General features: G+C 39.0%; 1 protein-coding gene across 19 annotated transcripts in view, besides 2 other annotated features; it reads left to right on the forward strand.

Moving 5' to 3' along the window:
* The window catches only part of NPAS3 (neuronal PAS domain protein 3), an 869389-nt gene that overhangs the window by 518804 nt on the left and 324911 nt on the right, over positions 1-25674 (forward strand). The window lies entirely within an intron of this gene.
* Positions 21928-22538: an enhancer, noted in NCBI's record as "OCT4-NANOG hESC enhancer chr14:33944722-33945332 (GRCh37/hg19 assembly coordinates)". NCBI's record gives its function as "activates a minimal SCP1, AML or CMV promoter by ChIP-STARR-seq in naive H9 embryonic stem cells {active_cell/tissue: H9 hESC(naive)}" and the evidence as "EXISTENCE:reporter gene assay evidence [ECO:0000049][PMID:30033119]".
* Positions 24104-24669: an enhancer, noted in NCBI's record as "NANOG hESC enhancer chr14:33946898-33947463 (GRCh37/hg19 assembly coordinates)". NCBI's record gives its function as "activates a minimal SCP1, AML or CMV promoter by ChIP-STARR-seq in naive H9 embryonic stem cells {active_cell/tissue: H9 hESC(naive)}" and the evidence as "EXISTENCE:reporter gene assay evidence [ECO:0000049][PMID:30033119]".

Here is a 25674-nt window from a genome sequence, read left to right on the forward strand (position 1 = left end):
GTTATCCACAAATTCAGCAACATAAAAAAGAAAAATGGGGCCAGCATTCTGGTAGCTTGAAGTCCTTTGGTTCTGATTTCACCAGTTCGGATTTTAAGATAATTCAGTCCCAGCTGGGCTTAAGTTTACTTTTGCATTGTTGACCTATTTTTTAAGTGTTAGAATAAAATCATCCTCCTTACCTGGAGACCCACAGAGAAATTCCTCCTCAATTGTAGAGCTTTGGAACAATTTAATCCTCCTAATGGTCTGATATGCTTCCTTTGTTTGTTTGTTTTGTTAGTAGAGATGGGGATTCACCACGTTAGCCAGGCCGGTCTCAAACTCCTGACCTCAAGTGATCTGCCTGCCTCTACCTCCCAAAGTGCTGGGAACACAGGCGTGAGCCACCATGACCAGCCCTTTTTGTTTCCTTTTTTAAATTAAGCAACAACGAAGGTTTTCCCTTTTTGCCCTGGCTGCCAGGGACTAAATTTCATGCTCAGTTATGATAGCTTCCTTTAGCCTAGATTTCTGGACCCTGTACCCTTTTTCATTTGTTATTGCCTGGCTTTTTACCCACATAACAACAGATGGATTGTTCTATGTTTTCTATATTTACAGTGCCAGTAAGTGTATATTAATGCCAAGTCAGCTTTATACAATTTGTTTTTAAACTTTAAACATTTTATCACAGAAGGAATGCATGATTATTTTAAAAGATAGAAAATGTGGAAAAGCAAAAGTGAAAGTTAAAAATTACCCTTAATTTTACCAATCAGGAAGTAATTTGCTTTTAAACATTATGGTTTCTTAACTTTCTGTGGCCCAACCATAAAATGAGGATAATAAACAGACTCCACCTTTAAGGCCCCACCCACTAAGATTGCTGTGAGTATAAAACATGTTACTCCATGAGATGTTCTCAGAACAACACCAGGGATGAAATGAGTGTTTGATGAGTGTTGGTGGTTATTGTTGTTATTGTTGGATATCTTATCCCAGACCTTTTTTCCTAAGCATATATGACAGATCATTTTTGTAAGTAAGTATAGGCATGCATTCAGTAAAATCATGGTATTTGAGAGCTGCAAAGGGTCTTAGGGTCTTTCTAATCTAGTTTCACCACAGGGGATTCGGGAAATAAACCGGGGAGTTGGGGATTTCTTTTCTACCGCTCAACTATTACTGATTCTGCCTTAGGACCTACTGCATCAGAAACTCCAAGAATAGGTATGTGTATCTGGGGAGAAAAATGAGGTGATACTGATGGGAGTACCTGTTGACTGGACCCAGCGTATAGCCAGATTGCCTTTAACAGGTGAGGAGAGGCAGCGTGCCCCCGGCTGAGTGAGTGGCCTCAGGATCACACAGTGTTTACATGGAGCTGGAGCAAGACCTGAGTCTCTGAATGGCACCCGGCGCTGGCTTCCATCAGGCAAGGGGCCACCAGGCAAGACAAAAGAGATAAACATTTTGTGTGCATTTTGGCAGCATGATAATCTGTTATATCCAGACAGTTGCTGCAAATAGTATTCCGTGTTAAGATGTACCATAATATTTGCTGGAAGTTAATTCAGGTGACTAAATCTGCAACTGTTGAAAGTAAAAACAAAACAAACAAAGCTTTGGTTTACATTTTAAAGCATTGATGTTTCACTAATTCATTTTGACCTTCTCTCATCAGTCTGACTCAGTGAAATTTTGTTGTATTTCAGCTCCTAAGTTTAAGATGGTTTTGGGGGGTGGGTAGAAGCCAAAGTTTGTTATGAATTTAAAACTTTGCTATGGTGCCTTCTAGTGAAATTCTTCGGGCTTTCACTTCTCAAGGTGGTCTTCCTTGCTTTGCAGAGCACTCACATGTGAGAACAGAGAGTGGAACGGGGCAGTTTCATATCATTCCTAGAAGTTCAGTTCCCTTGTAAAACTATAAGAAAACCATGTGCTGTATGTTGACCCATGTTTGAGAAACTACCAAGAAAAAACCAACTTCTTGAAGGCTGCATGAGCTGAGCTTGTGTTGGGATGATTTGTAATGGTTCTGAATATTACAGATGCAGCTATAATCTTGTATGACACTGCCCTCACCATTGCACATGACTGATTCTGTAAGGATCTACAAGTAGGTGTTTAGGTGTTTCACCGCATCTGCCTGACATAAACTAATGATGTAGACTGCTAAACGTGGTGACATGATTAAACAGGATGTTAACGAGTGGCTCCTCTAAGAGTCTTGCTCATTTCTTTTAACAGCCTTTGTTATGCATGTACAAAAGTTAAAGAGACAGAAATGGCTGTTTCCTGCAAAGCATCTGTTAACAGCAATGGGAATTCAAGAAGAAAGCATTTAAACTATCTAGTAAGACACACAGGGCCATCTTCTTGTCCTGGGGGTTGTCCAAAACCATGTCTTTGTGGGAAGGAATATGGCAGTTTTTCTGCAGGCAGTAATCATTTGTACTATTACTTAGTTGTCATGTATTGATGATCCCATTTCAATCAAACATATCTCATTCAGAGAGCTTTGGATGGGAGGAATTTTTGGAAGGGTTTAGGAAGGTTAAATCTGTGAGATATGGCTTCCATCTGGAATGCATTAGCTACGAAGATTTATTAGTCAGAGTGCCTGTGCATAATGTTCCATGGAAAGGGGGCCCTGCATCTAATTTCCAGTGTGATGTCTATATGAGGAGTGATCTTTGAAATATCATAGGTGACAATCAAGTTTGTTATAAAAATAGTAAATGCCCAGGATTTTCATGGCGGCTATTTTAAATCCCTCATGAGGGCTGCTAAGCAGGTAGTTGATTTGTTGACAAATGATAAAACTGTAGGAATAGCAACATGCATGAAATTTTAAAATGGGGCAGCTCTTTTAAGCAGAAAAAGACTATTAGGAAAATTATGAGCATTTAGTGTTTTCATTTACCCTTTCTTTGGGCACGATAACATTAGAAAATAAGAAGACCAGTCCTCAACTCTGTGAAGAAGTACATCCCCCTTCTGATTAAAATAGTTTTTAAGAGCTAGTGTTGTTGATCAATAAGTGAATCAGGGAAAGCTTTATAACGACTCATATATTAGACAGCCTGAGACCGCACTGTTTTCAGCTGTAATGTGATTGGTATAAATTAGAAATTATAGCGGTGCTAGAATCCCAACTCTACTGATCTCTGTGTGGAAGGGAGGCAGAGCTGGCATGCAGCTCAGGCTTACCTGTGGGACTGTTCTTCTAAAAGATAACAAACAGAAAGGCAGAAATGGGGGTAAAGGTTGAGTGTGGGCTGCAGAAATCAGGATTTAAAAACCAGAAGGCTCCTCAGCTTCCTTCGTAAAAGGCAACTCAAGCAGGGGAAGGACTTCCTCCGCCTCACCTGCCTTGTTCTCAGTCGCCAACATTAAGGTAACATAATGAGGTCCAATGCAGTCCCACAAAAGCGTTTTATACCATCAGGAGGCAATACGGTTCAAGATGCCTTCCCTGGCTGTGTCATATCTTCCTGAAACTGAAGGGCAAAGGATTAATGCCAGGTGAAGGGCGAGTCGCCGTCCAAATATTTATCTGTGAATTTAGGTCACACCACAATGCCCAGTTGTGTCATTCTCTCTCAGCATAGGAAAAAGTGTTCTGTATCCTGGATACAAGTTCAGTACTAAATGGTTCTCCAAGGATTACAAGAGAAATGCTGGAGCTCAGCAATTTTCTTTTACCCTCCTGTTGGGCTTCTGTGCCATTGGGCAGTTTTGTGCCAGACAACAGAATTGAGAGTGAAATAGTACTAACCACAAAACACATGTTAGAGAATGAAAAGAGATTTTACTGCAAGACCTCAAAGAGCAAGGTTTGGGTTTTTCACCTTCTAAGTCAACATTTACAGGGTTCTAAACTTGAAATGTGTATTTCTCTTCTGCATCCTCTGTGCATGCTGAGAAGGGCATAGCAGGAGCAATGCCTCCCACTACTGAGGAGGACACATTCCCAGAAACTCACTTACAGTAGGATGCATTTGAGGACCTTAATTGCTTCTATTTTCCCATCAGATTTTAGCAAGGAATTTCATTCCTTCTTCTTTTAAGGCAAAGTGATAAGAGGTCCCCACAAACCCATGTCCCAGACATGCTTCCCCACTCCAAATGACTGGGTCCTTCCAAATCCCTCGCTGTAGCCTTGCCCTTAGCGTGTGTAAGTCTGGCTCGCTCTCTGGGCTTGCCTTGACAAGAATTATGGGATGGTGCCAGATTTCCTCATCAGCCGATGTCTCCTTTTACTAAGGTGGGGCAGCACCCTGGCCAACCCCCTGGACACCCCTTGTTTGCAGGAACCTGTGTTTATCAGCGTCTCACTGTATCCTGAAGTCTTTGTATGTAATTTAATATAAACTAAATAAGACAGTGGAAACCGCGACAGGTTCCCAAAGGCTCACTGGTTGATGTGTTTTTACATCTGGCATATGACTGACAATACTTTCAAGGACATAGCTGTTGTGGAAGTTAAGTAACTAATCCAAGAAGATTGAATATTGTAGCAAGACCACCCTGGCCTGCCCGGTTGTCCAAATTACTTCAGTTTGCTCAAGAAAAGAGCATTTGCTCAAGAAAAGTTCCTCTTTTAAATTCAAAGTATTCTTTTGTTTTTTAAAACTTCAGTGGCTTAGAATTAAATTAATTGCCTAATGTAGACTTGAATACATAGAAATATTTAGAAAGAAATTCCAAAAACATTTAAGGAAAAATAATCAGTTTTTCTTTCATGTCACAATCTAGGCTGTTTTTGGTATTTTGAATCACTTTAAATTTTCTCTGTTTTGATAGTGATTAGTAAATTGGCACAGATTTATTTTTTGGATATATGCCTGATGTTCAGAACTTCTTTTAAGTCACATGGGGCGAAAAAAGAAATACCATGAAGTTCTGTGAGCAAAGTTTTATGAATAAAGGTTAATTTTACTAAATCCAGCAAAAATTATTTTCATTAGAGTTAAATTCTTGAAGAAGGAAACATAACATTAGCATGTTAATTGTCATATCTGAAACAGAAATTTAACATCTTTGAAATGAGATTTCACTTTAAAAAGCAGTTGCAGTTGTGCTGTCTATCGTTCTTCAGTGCAAAATTTAAACTGTATGCTTTGTGTTATATGAAAAAGTCTTCTACTAGTCATTGTGGCCAATTCAATAATAATCAGTAATTAAGTAACCAAAAGAAAAAGGATACTAGGCAGTTTGATTAAATTTGATTAAATTATTACATACGAGAGTTTTGTTACAGGAAAGGGGTCCCGATCCAGACCCCAAGAGAGGGTTCTTGGATCTCGCACAAGAAATAATTCAGGGCAAGTCCATAGAGTAAAGTGAAAGCATGTTTATGAAGAAAGTAAAGGAATAAAAGAAGGGCTACTCCATAGAGCAGCCCCAAAGGCTGCTGGTTGCCCATTTTTATGGTTGTTTCTTGATGATATGCTAAACAAGGGGTGGATTATTCATGCCTTCCCTTTTTAGACCATATAGGGTAACTTCCTGACGTTGCCATGGCATTTGTAACCTGTCATGACACTGATGGGAGTGTAGCAGTGAGGACGACCAGAGGTCACTCTTGTTGCCATTTTGGTTTTGGTGGGTTTTGGCCGGCTTCTTCACTGACCTGTATCTTGTGCCGACCTCCCATCTCATCCTGTGACTTTGAACGCATGACCATCTGGGAATGCAGCTCAGTAGATCTCAGCCTTATTTTACCCAGCTACTATTCGAGATGGAATTGCTCTGGTTCACATGCCTCTGACACTTTCATATGTAACAATGGGATAAGAAAACTATAAAATATTATACAAATGTAAGGTGTTGTTATTGATTCACTTAACCAGTGAGAAAGTCTGCACATTTAGTTGATTGAGTACATAATCCTGGAAATCTGCAGTAGAAATCATGGACAGTATTACTACATGAGCACTTAAAATCAGTGTCATCTCAAAGTCATTTGGTCAGGCAATCTGAGGTGAGTCAGTTTATCTCTCTGATTTATCTGTAGAAGAGGAATATTAATTTTATCTCATGGTGTTGCTAGTAAGATCAAAGGAGTGTTGGTAAAAATGATATACAAAAGTTGATTCTTTTATATCTTGTAAACTCTACCTGCCTCTCTTATAGCAGCATATCGTATTTTGAAGGCAAACATTGTACAAATCTCCCTTAAATATCACTGATTGCATAATCTGCTCCCTGGCTGAGTCAGAATCCTTATTTTTTCATTGGGTGCCCAAGAACCCTCTTTCCTTTACATATAATTATCTGTTATAATAATCCGTTCTCTTCTCTTTCTGTCATCCTTGCTAGACTATAGGCTCTTTTAACAGTAGAGATTATTTCTGCCTAGTGCCCAGCATGGTGCTTGGCACACAGTAGTTATTCAATAATTATATGCTGAATGAGTGAATGAATGCATAGAAAATTACACAGAAGGTGACTGCTAGATCCTTCTTGCAGAGATTTTGTAGTAGCATCAAAGATGTGGCCTTCCACAAAAGGACTACAAGGACTATTACAAGAGTACTCGTACACATACAGCTCTCTTATGGGCATACTGTTTTTTATTTTCTTGTCAGTAACATTGGCAATGAAAAAAAGATTGTTTTATAATTGCCCTCAGGACTCCAAGTCTAAACAGTCCCTTCTTACTATTATGTTGGAGTACAACCTGGAGATCTCTGGATTTTAACCCTCACTTCCCTCTGGGCAGGGTGCCTTGAATATTGCACAGCCGTGAGGCAATCCTTAGTTCACTGTTTGAAGTAGGCTGGCTACCAACATTAAAAGAAGTACTATAACTCCAAGTTTCTGTCTCTGTTTTATTTTGCACTATATTTTCTAAATATGGTAACTAGGCAACTCCATGTTATACAAGTAAATGCTTTTGCACTTGTGGAATGCAGTTATGTCCCTGAAGCTGTGACTCTTCCCAAAAATATATGTATCAACCCTTTCTGAATTCTAAACTTTCCTACAACGTCCTAAATCTTTATAAGCTCATGATGATTTTATTGAATAATCACGTATATTTTCGGCGTACCCTACTGCCTCCTACCCTCCTACTTTCCACCCTCTTTTGCAAATTGATTCTTCTACTTTAGCAATTCCTTTTACTGTTGTTGTGGTTGTCGTCGTTTTGTTTTTTTACCTACTGGATTTGCTATTCAGATACTTAAAGAATATTTAAAAATCAGCAAGGAAAGCACACAAACCAACTAACAAAACTAGATTTACAGAAAAACCAGAGAGTGGGTCCAGGAAGTTGAGACACTCAAAATCAGTCTGGTGTTGTGATGCCATGGGAGAGGAGGAGGGTAACATTATTGGCCTACAACTTTTTTAAAAACAATCTTCTGTGAGTTTTGTTAATTACATCATTCCCTGTTTCTTGACAACAAGGACATTTTTGAACTGCTCACCATATCAACGATTCTACAAGGGTAACTTATTAGTATTATTGGGAATAAAACTGGTGCGGACGATACTAATAATTAAGTACGTTCAAAGCCTGACTCCTGCCATTTATTTATTTACTTAGGGCCTGCGAGGCTTTATTTAAAATAACAATTTTTGTTTAATAGTAGAATCATGGAATAATCTCAAGTTGTCTTATGATCTTTTCCCTTGCCTTTAGGAATTCAGTGCTGAGCTAGCCAAAAGACAGGAATGTCTGTTTTATTTTGAATGCTTTTCAGGGTCTGGGAGATTCAACTGAGAAGGCTATTTTGATGTTGCATAAAATGATTCCTGTCAAAATCATTTCTGTAACTGTTCTGCCTATTTCAATAAGATAGTTTTATCCTGGTGTTTTTAAAAAATCTTTTCATTCATGGCATTCTACAGGCTTGTTATTGTCAGATAATAATAGCTAACACCTAGATAGACAGTATGGGTCAAACATCTTAAATATGTTCACGAAAGGTTTTTATAAAAGATGTTATGAGTTCCGACGGGAAAATCACACCCTGATGGGCATGAGGGAAGATTTCATGAAGGAGGTGACATTTGGTTAGGATTTGTATTCCCTACGTGACTGTTAGCCTTAAGCAGAACCACTGCCATGTTTGCGGTAACTGACAAAAGCAGGTTCCAGTTTGAAATCTGACCTTGCACTTAGTATCCAATGATAAGGTTATGGATATAGGATAGATAATACTTCTTAAGCAACCCCGAAGAGGAAGCATAGCTTAGTGCAGGCTTAAACTAGAGCCCCTGATTCAAATCCCTGCTCTACCATTTCCTCTGGGGGCAGATGAATTGGCCTGCCTGACACTCAGTTTCATCACTTGTGAAATGGGAATGGTAATAGTTTCAAATTCATGAGGTAATAGAGACAATAGAGATTTCAGTAGAAGTCAAGGGTTGTGAATGTGTCCTTATATTTTCTAAGGGAAAGGCTGCTTGTGAGGAAGTTCTTCCTGCCTTTCAGCCACAGATAATGGCAACTCCTACTTGGTTTATTATTTATCTCTGTACTCTCCATGACTGAGCATTAGATGAAGTGGAAACCATCATTACAGGAAGTTAGTCCACAAGAGGATGTGTTGTTGGTAAAGTGTGAGGGACTGCAGAAACCTGGGCTCTCATTCCTCGCCTGTTTCCAGCTAGCTTATCTGGGCAACATTAGGCAAGTCGAACAACCTTTCTGGACGCAGTTCCTTCCCTATAGCCTGAAGGCACGAGACCAGCTAATCCCCCCAGCACTATGATAGTCATTATTGCTGCTGGCAAACCTCTGGTTCTCGTCTCCTTCTGGGCACAAGGATAATTGAACTCTCTGCCCCTTTGAGGTCGGGTGGGACCATGTAACTAGTTCTGGCCAATGAGCTGTGAGTGGAAATGACATGTTTCCTACAAGCTGACATGTTTAATGACAAGACCCTCTGAAGTTCTCATTCCTTCTTCATGACATAGACGGCGACTGTTCTGTGTCCTGGGCCCTGGAGGAAGGGTAACGGGGAGCAGAGATCCCAGTGACCCATGTTGGATTTGAGTAGGTGTGAGAAATAAGCTACCATTTTTTAAACCACTCATAATGTGGGATCATTTGTTACTCCAGCATAACACACATATGCCAAATTGTCACTGGCACCTTCCAGCCTAAGGCACCCGGGAAGACTTCAGGAGGAGCTGATGTTTGAAGTCCTAATGGCCATGAGTATATGGTCTGGATTCAAAACCTAGCTCTACACACCACCAGCAGTGTGACCTTATGCTAGTTGCTTAGCCTCTGAATTTTCATTCCCTTGTATGAAAATGGAGATATTACCACTGGTTATCTTATTGAGCTGATAAAAGGGTGAGGATAAAATGAGATCTTACATGTAATACATTTTAGAAAACAACTGGCAGACAGAAAGGTAAGTAGGTAATAAATGGTCATTCTTGTTTTTCTGGTTTTAACATTCTGTGAGTTAACGATTTCCTTATCTTTTTATATTTCTTATTGAGCTCACTGCGAGGACTGAGGAAGTTTATAAGAAATATGGCAATAGGTAATGGCTTAGGAAGAAAGTGGAAGGAGTAGTACCTTAGCCCCTGTAAGCCAGCTGCTTCTAATGGGAATCAGTTTCTATTAGTGTATGAGCATTACATCTTGGCCGGCCCATTTCCAAAAATAAGAGCCAAAGCCACTGAACAAATCTGTAGTAATCCTTTCTAAGTAGCCATCATCCAACCAGTGATATTTTCCTACAAAAACTTCTTTGGGAAAAGAGATTATATATTTGTATCACCTCAAATCTTGCAAATTTGTGTCACATTTTGTCTTTAAAGCTTTCAAGTAAACATTAAATTGATTATATAATAAAGCCAATAGCTCATTTGGAATATTTACAGGAAAACCCCCATAGAATGGGCATAATGAGAAAAATAATGACGCAGTAATTATAATTCTCAAGGCTAATAATTTTAATAATAATTTATACTTAAACAGCTCTACACATAAGGAGATTTCAAAGGTTTATAAATATTAAGTAAAAGCTCCGTATGCTCTGCCATTCCTAAAACAATGCCTTGAACCTAACATTTCTGAAACATTCATGCATCATTGGTATTATTTTACAAATGGATAAACTGAGGCAAAGAAAATATGCCTGGAGTCAGGAATGTGTAGCAATAAATTCTTGTCTTCTGTACCTATACCCAAAATCCACCAAATTAAGACATCACAGTGGAATAATTGATATTTCAGTCTCTCAAGGAGTTAAATTGTGTTGCACTAACTGCCGCCACAGTGATGTGAGGTGACCCATGGATTTCATTTAGAGTAATGGGTTCTGTATGAAAACAGTTGCAGTGGGGATGGGAGGTTTTTGTGGCTTGTGGTCAGTCCTCAGTTGAGGTATGAGGGAGGTTTCAGGTTGGATTCCTGGCATGGCAAATCCAAAATATGTGCTCCAGCCAGAAGGTTACTGCTGAGTGTGCCCGCCTCCTCAAGAGTGGAATCAGAGCCCATCAAAAGCTGCCCTTTTTTTGTTCCACTGTGCTCATTCACACATGATATCCCAAAACAGTTAAGTAAAATGAGGGACATTATATCTGTCACACATGAGAAAACTGCAGTTATGGATTTGCTTAATGCATTCATTGCTTTTTGGACTCTGGAGTCCCCTGGGCAGTGCCACAAATCTACATGTTGGCCCCTAGTTCCATATTCTGTGTGGGACTCTCTAGTGAAGCTAGCATGTGTATGAAAGGTTCATTATTATTGTTGTTAATTTTTTTTATTTTCATGGTTCAAATGAATCGGCGTTAACTCATGGTAACAGTAAGGGCTGCACTGGCCGAGTACATTACAGTAATCTATTGTTGAAATAGCTCCCTCCTGGCTATACACTGAGCACTGAGGTCCTGCCTTCTGAATTAATACCAAAGCATCGGTGACATAGCTGACCCATAGCAGAGAGCCTGAAGCCACTGCTTCTCTATGAAGTTTTTTGAGAGATCGACCCCTCCTAATTTTTCCAAATGCGGTCCCTGACCCTCTGATTCCTGGGATCTTGAATAATGTTGAAGGTGAAGCTAGTAGTCATTTATTCCAAAAACATTTACTGTCTGTGGCTGCAGCTGTGACACAAGTTGTACAGAGCATGCTGTCCTTTTTCATCGGCCGTGCATGAGGATTGTTCTTTGATTTATGGTCATAGGCTCTGTTTGGCGAGGAGCTGGGAGCTGTTTGTACCTTCCTGTATGATGCCAAGTGCAAAGCCCTTTGTTCAGAGAACTGCCTGGTCCTGATGGAAAGGCTTGGGCTCCTCTGGCAGCTTCTGCAGTTGCCTGGACCCCCACACCTGTGACCCAAGGGGCCTGGCACACAGTAAGCACTCAGTTAATGTTAGCTGTTGTTATCGTCATCAGGTTCATCATCATTATCATCATGCCATGATGATTATCTTTCCATTCACTATAGAAACAGTAAATAGGGATCTTGCTTTGATGTGTTTAATGTGTGTTGCCCTTAGTCACTCACTATTAAATTCCCAAAGGTTTTTTTTTACTTGAGTGATCAATAACCAAACAAATTATGTATTTGTAGTATCCATTTACAATTTTATTAATCTGTGGTGGCAAGGACTATCTTTGTTTTTTCCAAGGCAAAGTTTTCCTACTTTGCACGCAATAGATGCTCAATGAATATTATGAAATGAATAAATAAGTAAATGAATCCTCTAATTCTGTCAGCCCCATACATTAAAGTATTTTAAACACGTAATTTTATTAAGAAGTTATATGGTCAAGCTTAAGACGTTAAATGCCTACTATGCATTCTCAGAGTAAAAAAGTTTAAAATGTAACTACTGTCTTTAAGCAGTTCACAGTAAGATCAGTCACATGCATACAGGTAACAAAAAAACAAGATTATAGAATATATCGATTCAAGCATGATGTTTAGTGTTCTTGGTGTTATTACTAGCTTTGGTTGAGCACTTACTACATACCAGGCACTTTTTACAGCACTCTTGTTTAATTCTCACGTAAAAATCTATTTTTATTAGCCCTGTTTTATAAGTGCAGAAACTGAAGCCTAGAAAAGCTACATGTGACCAAAGGCATATAGTTTACAAATGGTGGTGCTATAGGATATAATATGCTTAACTTCTATATACTAAATAAAAATGGCCATTACGCTCTTTTATTTCCTTTCGCAAAACATGCCTTTGATATTCAATTTATTTATATTTTCCCTTGCTTTAATTCAGTATAATATATGGCATATATTAATTTTATCATTATTCGGTTTTATTTGTTCTTAGTTTAGCCACCTCAAATCATTTGTGGAATCACACGAGATCCAACAGATATATAATAGATAATAAAATGCTAAATTGTGTAGTATCTACAATAAGCAAATTAACAGTTTTGAGAAAGGAGCCTGGGTAGTTGAGCATCGAGCTTCTCTGGAAGAATGGATGAAATCAAAACACATAGCAGATGGGGAGGCAGGCTGGAGCGTGAGCAAAACCGCAGTAGCACAATGAGCATGCGCTTGAGCTTCGGGAGCATGCTGGGGAGTGCAAGGAGACTCACTGCCCAGGAGTATTACACTGTGTGGGAGAGAGGATGGAGCTGTTTAGAGAAGCAAGAGAGGGACCATGGCCCAACCTGAGGGTGTGAAACCTGGTAAAGGCAGGGCTAGAAACCAGGTTCCTTTAGCAGCAAAACCAGGGTCATTCTGCTGGAGACCCCTGTCTTTCCTATCCTAGCAAGAGCCTCAAATTCTAGAGTTTAGAATAGAAAAACACAGATGCTAGAAAAAGCAGATGATGATTAGCAAGATTTGTTTTAACCTCTTAACAAATATTCACATAATGGAAGTAGCCATCACCAGTTTGGTTATCAAGTAAATACTATCAGCATTAGATCACCGTTGTTCATCTAGCAATTGTATGCCTTTTGAGAAGACGTGGGAAGACTGAAGAGTTTGTTTACTCCTTGTATTAGTCAGTTCTCACATTGCTGTAAAGAAATACCTGAGACCGAGTAATTTATAAAGAGAATAGGTTTAATTGGCTCACAGTGCTACAGGCCATACAGAAAGCATAGTAGCTTCTGCTCCTGGGGAGGCCTCAGGAAATTTACAATCGTGGTGGAAGGCAAAGAGGGAGAGAGGCGTCTCACATGATGGGAGCAGGAGGAAGAGAGGGAGGTGGAGGAGGTGCCACACACTTTTAAACAACCAGATCTTCCAAGAACTCACTCACTATACACTACCAAGGGAGATGCTGCTAAACCATTCATGAGAACTCCACCCCATGATCCAGTCACCTCCTACAGGCCCCACCTCCGACACTGGGGATTACAATCAGACATGAGATTTGGTGAGGACACAGATCCAAACCATATCACTCCTTGAAGGAGGTAATAAAAGAAAGGTTAGGCTAAAAGTTTCATGTCTAATATATTTATTAAGGGAAGTTCTTATTCATTGGTTGTGTTTTACTAAATCTGTCTGTGAGTGGGTATAATGTTAGTGTTCATAAAGTTGTTACTTGGTTGGAATTACCCCCTCAAAACCAGAACCGCGTGAGTGACTGTGACTTTGCGCTGCTCACTGGGGATGTGCTCAAGCCCGCCTGTGTGCATGCCCTCAGCAGCCAGATTTCCTAAAGTGAATTGAAGGAAGAAAAGGCTTAGGGATTTTGATGCCCAGATTCTGTATTTGGACTCAACACATGTGCCAGGTCACATAAGGCTTTTACTGTTTATGCTTTATGTGCAGAAGATCTTGCTATAATAGTGTGTAAGCTGATAAAAGAGCTTTCTCTCTCTCTTTGGGGGAAGTAGATGGAAAACAATCTAGTTGTAATTAAAGTTGAGGTCTTGCTGATAGTCATTTACAGGTTAAACTACTATACACTGGAGGAGGAAATCATGTGATTCATTTTTTAACTTGAGCTATTGTAGAGCTCACTTTAGACATGAAGTTCTAAAAGTCAGCTTGAAACAGCTGAAAGAAAAGAGAAACATGAACGCATCTGTTTCCAGAATGTAGCTGCTTTGTATTTGGGAGAGCTAACTACCTGGAAATGTGACTGGAATTGTCCCTCCCCCGGCTATTTTGGCCTCGTCTAGGCAAAGCGGCAGTGCCCTTTGTATGCTGCAGCGGTGACTTAGCTAACCTAAGCAATGTGGAGCATGTGCGGCAGGGCTCGGAGGCCTCAGAATCAATAAGGACCCTTTAGATTTAAAACTAATGATTTTCTGTGTTCAGCAAAAGTCAAAATCTCTCAAAGTTGCCATTGTTGTCTCTGAGTTTTTCCCCAGAGAACAAGAGATGGTGTGATAAATCATCATGCTTGCAACACGCACGTCAGAAGAGACTTGAACTAGACCAGAGATGGATAGCGCGAGCCCCAAACATCTTAATTATTTCAGTCTTGAATTGAGCAAAACCCTTAAACTAGAACTGTGGGAACAGTGATCCTAACAGCAGTAGACACACCATCTAATAGGGTCATCATGCCCCCCAAGAGTACAAGTGTGACCCATCCAGGCATGCAAATGCAATCGTTTCCTCCCAGCAGAATTGTAAGCAGTTGAATGGTGACGTCAAATGCTTTTGAATGTATCTATAAACTGCTGTTGAATGTACATAAAATTTCACCAGACTCTCTGATTTAAAGCCCTAGGGAAGGCCACCAGGCTCGTATGGAAATTAGCTAAGCATAATTTATTCATGGAAGGCAGAAAAGCTGAATTAATAAATACATGAGTATGTAAACTTATAACTGCATAACGATCTGTAGAAAATATGAAGGCCAAGCTCCATGTGTTAACAGAAACCCTTAAGGTGTGGCCACTTGGTCCTTTCTTGCAAAAAGTTCTGTCTTCTGTTTTAAAAGCCAATGTGGAAATAACTAATAAGAAATACATTTATTCTTTGGAGGGTCTCTTTTTTTCCTCTAAAAATGTGGACCTGCCTTGTGGATGCTTCTCTATAAGAATCAATCTCAGAGAATTATTTTTTAAATATTAATGAAGGCACTAATTCCAGAGATTCAGAAAACTGCTTCTCAGCAGGTTTAACTCATACTCTTTCTGGATGGACCCAATTCTGAGAGCATTTTCACAAAGTATTGTTAAAAGTACAAGGTCTTGCCTTATTACAAGAGTGGTCATCGTTCATTTTTTCCCTTATTCTCCCCATGATATTAAATCTGTATCAACATTATCAGCCTCATCAAGCATTGATTTAGCAGTACACTTTTTATACAGCAGGAATTGGAGTAAAATATATACTGTCACACAATTCTTTAAAGGGAGTCTTGCCTTGTATTGAATGCATTCTAGTAAAACTTCATTCTTGTTAAATTCTGAGCTACAGTTAAGACCCGGTTGGAATCCAAAAGACCGAATCTACAGGGGTGTTACCTAGGATTTGATAATCAAGCAACAAAACTCGGTATCTCCTACAGTTCTTGTAATTTGGTCAGAACATTCCAAGAGAAGCATAGTACAGTATTTCCATCCATCTTTATTACTGATGTTATCCTTTAGTAATTAAAGACATTTTCTGAAATTCTGTTTTGGGAAGCATCAGTCCCTTTCAAACTTTGCCCTTAGTCAAGGGATGAGGACAAAACAAATACATGTTTAAACCTTTAAAAAATAGTCTTGTTTGAGAATTATAATCCATACAGGATAAAGGTGATTCAGCAAATGCCTTCCTATCCACAGCCATGATCAATAAAGAGGAAGTTTTCTTTAAAAAAAAAAAAAAAGAGTGTGTGTGTATGTATATGTTCTATGTGCTAGTCATAGAGTGGTTTATAAATATTCACTCATTAAACTCTTGTGGCAACTCTATGAGGCAGGTATAATTATATCCATTTTAGAGGTAAGAAAGTGAGACACAAAAAGGTATATAACTTACTTAGGACCTCACAACTAGTATGTCAATATTAGAAATCAGCCTTAATGTTGTGAATATATATTTACAGCAAATACCAAGACCTCATGGCTTCCTGACCTCAGTCCTTAAAGTGTGTTAATGGGAACTAGTTATTCTAGGATAAGGAAAAAATGTTCTTCTTTATAGCATGGATCCCGCCAGTTACCTAGGCTGAGAATTTTTAAGACAGGCTGTTGATAACCCTCGGTGCAGTATTTTCATTCCTGTTCTGAACACTCTCTTCTTAATTTGACTGTTTGGTAAGCAGGCCACATTCTGGTAAACAGAACAATGGAAATGCACGTGTGAAAGTAGGAAGATGTATGTTATGATTATCTGTTGCTGCATTAAAAAAAATTACCTTTAAACTTATAGGGCTGAATTAATGACACCGTTTATTTGACTTTTAAATCTGCAGTTTGGGTAGTGTTTGGCCTGGGTAGGTTTTCTCAGCTTCACTTGGCATCAGGGGGCCAGCTCAAGGGCTTGGGTTTGGAATAGTCTGCAGCCACACTCCAACATATTTCTGCTGATTGACCCTGCCTATCAGCTGAGATCTCATCTAGGACTTTGACTGGAACACCTACCTGTGGTCTCTCCACGTGACTATTTGGCCTCCTCACAGCATGGTGGCTAACTTCCAAGAGTCAAGGTCCTAAGACAAAGAAAGCCAGGTGCAGTAACCTACCTCAGAAGTCATATAATGTCACTTACAACATATTTTATTGGAAATGGCTGACACAAAGTTGTGCCCAGTTTCAAGGAAAGGGAACATAGATCCTACTGCTTGATGAAGGACTGTCAACATCACTTTGTAAGAAGAGCATGGGGGATGCATAAATTGGTTCCGCCAGTTTTGGAAAACACAATCTTCCAGAGTTCATATTTTCTTAAGCATTTAGGACCATCAGTATAAAGAAGTGTCTTGCATGAACAAATCCCTTTACTATAATAATAGGGTCCGTATTGAACCATAGGCTTAACTGAAATAACTGTCCAAAGAATCAAGTTTTGCTGGAAACCAAATCTCACATCAGATAGAAATAACCAAGGAATAGGGGAGGAAACCTTCTAAAGTTAATTCTAGCCTTGTTCCTACTTCATAGGAAAATTCTTTAGAGGTGGGAATTCCCTAAACATATGTAAGGTGGTTCATTTAGGCTGATCACATCTTTAACAGTTGCCAAAGGATCTTATACCAGATGTTAACATTCTATTTTCTATCAAAGAGCCATGTTGGATTTTTTCATTATTTAATATGAGAACAATAGAAGTGAACTTTTATGAAGTTCCTTCCCTATGGAATCCAACTGAAGTTAACTAGACACACTTTAAGAAAGATGGTGACCATTTCAGAGATATTCTATTTACTGAGCATCCGGCCTGAGAACAAAATGGACCTCAACCTTGAGAAACTCACAAGCTGATGCGGGATTTGTAGAGCATATTTAAAAAAAAAAAAAAAGAATGTTCTCTTTATGAAGTGGATACCAACAATCTACAATCTACCTCATGGCTTTGAGCAGTTTCTCCCTTTGTGTGATAGAATTGCACGTAGCCAGTTATACGCTGTCCTCCAGTCTCTTTCACGAGAGCTCTGCGCATATTAGGTAGCTCTTCTGAGTTAATAACAAAACTGATGCTTGTACAGTGCTCTGTGCATTCCAAAATGCTTTCCCATCCAGTATCACATCTGATGCTCATAGAAAGTCTGTCGTCTGGATAGAATCATTGTTATCTCCATTTTTCAAATTGGGACCTGAGAGGCAAGTCACGCTAGCTGGAGAAGCTGGGGCAGTAATCTCATGACCTTACTCCTTATTCACCGCTTTTTGCCAACCATATGATTTTCAGTTACACCAAACTTTCTGACCAATAGATTGAAAGCAAGGTTTCCCTTATCTTAGGCCATGGCAGGCAGAAAGCACATGACTGTGCTTATGCTGAGGATGTCACTGATGGATCAGTGTGGTACCCAGGAGTCAGCATTGGAGTGGGAGTCGGGAGACAGCGATTTTTGCCCTGGCTCTTTTACCCATTATTGCCCCCGGATGTGGAACATGAAGGAGATGGACTAGATAAGTTTCTAAGATTACTTTCAAGTCTAAATGTTTATGATACCATATTATATAAATGCAAAACCAGAGTAGTTGATATCACCGTCCTTAAAAGAAATCAACGAGGTAGGTAGAAATTAAGTTGTAAAATGATTATTTTTATCTAATAAAGGGGGAAATTACCAGTAGAAAGTTTGAATAAGGTTAAAACTGGAGTCCCCAACCCCCGGTACTGGTCCGTGACCCATTAGGAACTGGGCTGCACAACAGGAGGTGAGCAGCAGGCAAGCGGCGAGCGAGAGAAGCTTCATCTGTATTTACAGCCGCTCCCTATCACTCGCATTACTGCCTGAGCTCCAGCTCCTGTCAGATCAGTGGCATTGGATTCTCACAGAAGCATAAACTCTATTGTGAACTACACATGTGAGGGATCTAGGTTGCACACTCCTTATTAGAATCTAATGGCTGATGATCTGTCACTGTCTCCCTCTCTGCCCTCATGGAGCTTGTATTCTAGCTGGAGGAGAGAACAAGCAAGTAAACTATATGTATGTCAAATGATTAAAAGGGGAATAGGAAGTGCTGGAGGTGACTGCAGTTACAAATTGTTGATCCAGGAAGGTCTCACTGTGAAAGTGACATTTTAATAGAGACCTGAGGAAGGGAGGGGGCTGAGGTTATGTAGATAACTGGGAGAAGAGCTGTCCAGGCAATGCAGTGTGGCTGGAGGGGCATGTGCCAGAGGAAGAGATTAGGTTGGAGAGGTAAGAGGGTTTTGCAGGATGTAGGGGGCCTTGAAGACTTTTTGTAAGGAGTTTTGTCTTTATTTTGAGTAATTTGGGGAAACCATGTGGGATGGGTTTGAGCTAAGGAGTGACAAGATTTGACTTAGGCTTTACAACAATACCTTTAATGTGAATTATATCTCAATAAAGCTGTTTTTAAAAAACAAACAAAAAGAATCACCTCTAACTGTCATTTTTCTAACAGACTGTTGAGAATAGGCTGGAAGTTGGAAGACTAGGAAGGTATTACAATCTTCTAGGCTAGAGACAGTAGTTACTTGAATCAGCTGATAGCAGTGGAGGTTAGTGAGAAATGATCACATTCTGTATAAATGAATGTCAAGCCCATAGGACTGGCAAGGATGACTCCAGTGTTTTTGTCCTCAGTGGCTGGATGAAGTTGCCTTTTATTCAGAGAAACCTGTGTGAAAGCAGGTTTTGCTATGCGTGTATATGGGGTGGGGTGGAGGGTGGATTAGAAGTCAAAAAATGTGTGCAAAGCAGAAAAAAAAAGACATTTATTATTGATATGATTATATTATTTTACTTTCCAAAAGGATTTGAAAAGGCTTATAAGAAAACCTAGAGATAGAATGCGGATGGAAACCATTTAAAAAGCAAAAACAGCCGAAACCCAATCAAACAGTAGTGGATCTAAACGGAAATTTCCTGCGGGGGGAACTGTAAGCATGTTTGCTTGAGCTTTGCAGAGTGTTTGTGGTCAAGAATAAAAATATGAGGGTAAGATAGTGATTTCGCAGAGTAAAAGAGAGATTTTGCAGAGTAGGCCTGGCCTGAGAATACCACATTGTCAAGGAGAACCGGGAGGTTGGCTGATGGAAACTGGGAAATTGGCAGAGACGCTAGCATTCTATCAGTATCATGACTGGAACGTGCATCAGAATCTTCACCTAATAGGCATTTAAAACATATAAATGCAAGGCCTCACTCAGACCTCCTGAGTCTAAATCCTCTGTCAGCAGACCCAGTACTGCCCGTGTTTTAAGCCCTCCACATGATTCACATGCAAGTCCTAGTTAAAAGATGCTGGAGGAAAGAAGTTGATGAATTTAATTAGCTTTCAGAGAATGCGGATCACCTAATTGGAATGTTTTCTAGAGAGAACAAAGTAATAATTAAAAAATAATTTTCCAGAGATTTATTCATTCATCTACTGAATATTTATTGAGTACTTACTAAGTGTCATGCATGTAAGTACTAGAGACACAAAGATGGGCAGAAAGCATAGTCCTGCCCTCAAGGAGTTAATAATCTGCTGAGAAAACCAAACACATACATCGACAGTTTTAGAAGGCAATGTGTTCTTCTTGCATTGAGTGTAATGGGAAGAGAGTTAGAACTGGAAATAGAGAGAAAGTTTTCTGGAAGGAGTGTCACCTGAACTGAAAAATTGTCTAGAAACAAAGTTGTCAAATTATGCAGTTTAGCTTGCTGCCTGATTTTTTTGTAAAGAAAGTTTTATGGGAACCACAGCAATATTTATTTCAGTGTTGTCTGTGGCTGCTTTAGCACTACAATTGCAAAGTTAAGTAGATGTGATGAAGGCATATGATCCACAAAGCCTCAAATATGTACTACATGGCCCATTACAAAAAGTTGGTCAACACCTGCATTCTAGAAAGCAGAAACATATGGTACTATTCAAGGAATCACAAGCAAAGATTAAGGCAGGGAATGGTAGTGTCTGAAGCTGGTGAGGTGGCAGAGTCTAGATCACTGAGATCCTGCACCCCATAGGGAACGTTCGCTTTCTCCAGGGCAATGAGGATCAATGCAGGGTATTAAGCAGTGACACTACAGAGTCAAGCTTGAACTTTGGATCGATTAGTCTGTTTGCTTCATGGGGTATAGATTGGAGGGGGAAAAGACTGTTAGAAAGGAAACTATTAGGAGGTTTGTAGAAGTAATTTATGCTGTAATTAATGAACTGAGTAGAAGTTTGACCATAAATATGTGAAATGGAATATTACATGATCATTATAAAGAAATATATCTGGATTATATTGACAAGGAAAGATAACTACAGTATGTTTAGTAAAAATAATCAAGGAAACTGCCTATACAAACATACAAAACATATGTGTTACTTTATGCATAGAAGAAAAATGAAGAGAATATACAGAAAAATGTCAAAAGTCTTTTGTGGACGGAGAGGAGGTAAAATTACAGGAAACTATCGCCTTTAATTTTACATATTTCTATACTCTTTTTGCATAAAAATAGATTGCTTTTTAATTAGACCAAACAAATTTAACTTCTTAAAGTTACTTGTAGAGAGAGAGAGAATGAGAGCTCATACCATGACCTAGAACAGGGAAGGAGGGATAAAGAGAAGGGTATAAATTTGAGAATGATTAGGAAGTTAAACTAGCAAAACTTAGTAACGTGAGAGGTGAAGAGAAAGGGGAAAAATTACAATGCCTAGGTTTTTGGTTTGGGTAACTGTGATGAATTGTGGTGTCAATAATAAAATAAAAATAAATAACTTTACTGATTACTTATGAAGTTCAAGTAGTCTTATGCTAACTGTACCTTACCCATTTTTAGTGCATTTAAACTGTCAACAAGTGAAGGAGGAAGTTTTATTTTTCCCATTTTGTAGATGAGAAAACTGAGCCTCAGAGAGATTAAGTAGTTTACCCAAGGTAATGTGATTTGTGAGTGGGTTAGCTGGGAAATGAACACAGATTTGATTGATTCCGAAGCTGACATGCACTCCTACCCTCTCAACCTTTAATGAATTTTTTTCAAGCCACATAGATGGAAACATAAAATCAGTTCAGGACATATCGAGTCATCAACATAGAAGTTTTGATCTAATGTGATAAGCTCTGAATAAATAAAACGAAAAGAGAAGGCCTCAGATTGAATTCTGGAGAATGTTTGTAGTTAATAGATCTTAATCACGAAAGTTTTAAGAATAATGGCATGGAATATATAAAAGATTTTCCCCTTTTGTTGTGTTTGGATACTTGACATGCTTATTGATGCAGTTAATAATGCACATTAAAAAAGAATTAGAATAAAACAAATTTGATGCATTTTTCTTTACATCAAAAATCATAGGTCTGATTTTGTCATTTTAACTTAGAGAACATCTGTTGAGTGCTCACTGTGTGCAAAGCATATCGATGCCACAGTCTTGCCTACTTTAAGTTTTTATGTGTCTGAAATTTCCATGGAGCTAGGAAGAACTAAGATCTAAAAAAAAAAAAAAAAAGCCTAATTTTATAAACAGATCTTTGAGCAGATACTAGTTCAAGAACTGTCTGAAATCCTTATACACTCCTGGTTTCCATCAAGCCGTTGCTATATGTTTTGTTGAGGAAGTCTTCTTTGACAACAGCATTTCTAGTTCTGGTTTGGAGAGTTGGGGTTAAAGGTAAACTGAATTGCCTGAGGAAATGCTGTGGGCCTTTGTGAATGGGAGAGAAAACAATGCACCTCCCACTGAGAGGGAAGCAATTTCTCATTGTGTTACTTCACCCTGGCATTCAGCCACCAGAGGGGGCATGGACCAGAGTGAAATAAATTCTGCCAGCTGCCTGGCCTGGCTTCTCTGCCTTCCAGAGAAGGACCATAGCTATCCTCACTTTGAGATGGGACTAGAGCCTCACTTCCCGTTTGATGAGAAACTACGTGATTTACTAGTAAGCCATGGCTGCGCTTTCCCTGGTGAAGAATAAGACGTGCCTTACAGACTCCCTAAAAGGCACAGACTTGCAAACATAACGATGGTTTTTCCTTAGCGCTATATCCCATGTACAGTTTACTTCCTTTCTAATACGTTGTTGGTTTTTATCCAAATATAGATATGAGCTGTCAGAAAGAGAAATCTTGTTGTCAAGATTGACCATTCAACATAAAGTTTGAACATTGCATAAAAATATGTTTTTGACACAGTAAAATGCATTCCCTCTATGCTCATTGTAATTTACTTTATAGTGACTTGCTTAATAGCATAGCATATATCATTTATACTGCTATCCTTCATGCTTTTAAACTGTAATATCCTTTCCTCAATGACTACTTGTCAATTTCACTGATCTAGATTTGATTTCATAAATTAACTAGGCCAATTAAGTAGAGAGTTATCATTAGAATAAGAAGTGGAAGCAAATAAATATTAATCTTCCCTCTCTGAATGTCGGTATTTCTACACAACTTTGATCATACTTGAACACTACTTAATGGAAAAAATACACCCCTCTATTGTCAATTTAGTATTCCCCAATTTAAACATTTATGAGTATTTTTTTATTCATTTTCTCATTCCAAATCCATCCCACTTTGGGACAGTTGTTTCTGTTTCATCAATATAAAATGTGGGGAATGAGCAAATACTGGAACTTCATTATTTAAGGATTCTCATCATGGCAATTTTCATGGCTTTTCCACCTGGCCCCTTTACCTTGTGGGGTATTTGTTTCAGAGCTACAGGAACCGCATCATATATTGGTAGTTTGCCTGCTGTGCCTTTCTTTGTATTGCTTTAGTCATTTTGCACCCTCACAGACTTTTGGGGAACCACTTGGAAATGACAGTGTTTGACAGAGAATAGAATTGGAGTAAAATGCCCATGATTTCAAAGTATCTCTTTCTAAAATCTTAAGAGGCAGGGACTTCTTTCTCTTTTTCTTTTATTTAAATAATTCATCTTACAATATTAATATCTTGCTCTGTCTTCCTTAGAGGTGGAAAAGAGTTTGTCAACACCCTTTTTATAAAAATACTTTGTGTACACACATGCAATGATAAATTCACCCTTTTTAGCCTTTTGTTGCCTTCTGGATTTAATAATTTCAGCTTCTTTTGTCTTTTAAAAATAGATCCTATTTACCATCTTTCATCTTTTGGTGATGGGGGTAGGGGTGGAAAGAGAGGATGCTTTTCTCAGAACCCTTTTAGTTTCTTCTTTCCAAACTGTGGACACATTAGATTGCTGTGGTAATGGAATATCTTCCCAGATTCACTATGGAAAGAGAGAAGCTACCCAGAAGAGGATATGATACAGGGATCTACGGGAAAAATCAACTTGGGACTCCTGTGTTTTGATGTTGACATTGCTCTCACCGTCCATCCCTAACTCTGAACAGAGATAACGTGATCATGTGCCCAACACACACACAAACACACAGTCACATACAACACGCTCATTCACAGAACATACGTACTCATGCACTCATAGCACACATACACACAGCACACACACACAGCCATATAAGTAGCCTATGGAATATTTTGGGACCCATGATGGGGTGACTTCTGGACTTAGGTTTCCCTGCTAGTTCTGATTAAACACTTCGGATCCAAAAGCCAGAAAATCGGAGCTTCTTAGTCTCTCCAAGTTCATTTGCCCCTTACAGCCCTTCAAGCCTCAGTAGTTTTACCATAGTAATAATTTTTCACTAAGAATTTCAAAAAAAGAGTTTGCCATTGGACATCCTTTGAAATACTTAGCTTTGCTTCACTATTTTTTGTAACTTGCCAAAATCACAAATAAAAGGAACTATGTCCTCTAATGCTTCTTCTGTGGTCATTATCTTGGAAAATATGCAGAGTCTGGTCCAAGTAGAGTGCTCCCCAAACCTTGCTGTTACTTTGAGAATAGTTTTAATGAGGCTTGCAGCTGAGCCAAGCTCTCCTGTTGTGCTATTATGTGGGCATGTGGAAGCCCTAGTGATTGATCTGTGTGGGGGAACTGGCAACACTCGCATGCCCTCTGGGTAGAGGCAGAGCCTCCAGCAGGAAAAATTAGGGAAAGAGAAAAAACGGAGAGGAAATGTTTATCACTCATTTCCTAGCATTTTATGGCAGTGTTACGGTGAACTGGGAGATGGATGTGTATATTCATGGATTTTGCACCACTTTAAGCACTAATAACATTAAATCAACCTTAATACTTCATGCCAAATGTGCTCTAAAAGAGGGAATAATGGGAATTTTTGTTGACTTTAGTAAAGCATCAAAAGTTACACTGGAAACACATAAAATGCTACAATGCAGAGGTCACAATTATGCTAATATCATGATAATATAAAATATTAAGTCACCAAAATGACAGGATTTACAACCAACCATTCTTAGTCCCCAGAAGCCTTAGCGATAAGCTCCTGGTAAACACAACAGCCTGTCCTCCCAAGGAGTCTGATTACAAATTTAAATATGTATATGATTAGAACTCTGCCAGTCTCCCACCCCTGAAGACAGATGAAGTAAAATTTGATTTATATCATACCTGGAATTCTATTGTGTTAGATTCACTCTGTTTTGCAGGATCACTACCAGGCCTGATGAATTTTGTATGTTTAGAAAGTTGCGTTTGGGCAAAACAGGGACTACTATTAATGATCTTGAATAGCCCTGTAATCTCATGAACTAAAACTTAAACATTGATACAGAATAGTCAAATATTTGGAAACGGCACACTGGCAATTGGAAAACATTATACTTGTGTTATCTTCTTTTTTGATATCCTGGCTGAGGTCCAGGGTTGAAAAGCCTTTTACCCTGAGCCTTAATCTCATGGCCTTGAATTTGCCTTTAACTCTCTGGCTGCCAATCTCATTAAAGTCTCTTCTACCATGGAGTTCCTTAGACACAATAACTTGTTCATTGGCCATAGTTATCAGGGAAGGTAGAAACATCACAGCTAGGCAGCTTTCCTAATTGTTGTCAATTCCGGCCAAATGATGCTGACTTCTATTTAACTTAACCAATGTCATTATGGCAATAAAAGGCTAAGGAAAATAAACGTGCAGTTAAAGCACGACATTATTGTTAAACCAATGCGCTTTAATATTTCTTTGTGCTAAGGTACCTCAGCTATTTCATTATGCCAACTAAGATTAGCAAATGCATGTTTATGAAGAGTATGCTTTTCCTTTTTAATGTTAAATGCATGCATGTTGCCTGC

This window comes from Homo sapiens, chromosome 14 (assembly GCF_000001405.40).
Source record: "Homo sapiens chromosome 14, GRCh38.p14 Primary Assembly".
Taxonomy (NCBI): Eukaryota; Metazoa; Chordata; class Mammalia; order Primates; family Hominidae; genus Homo; species Homo sapiens.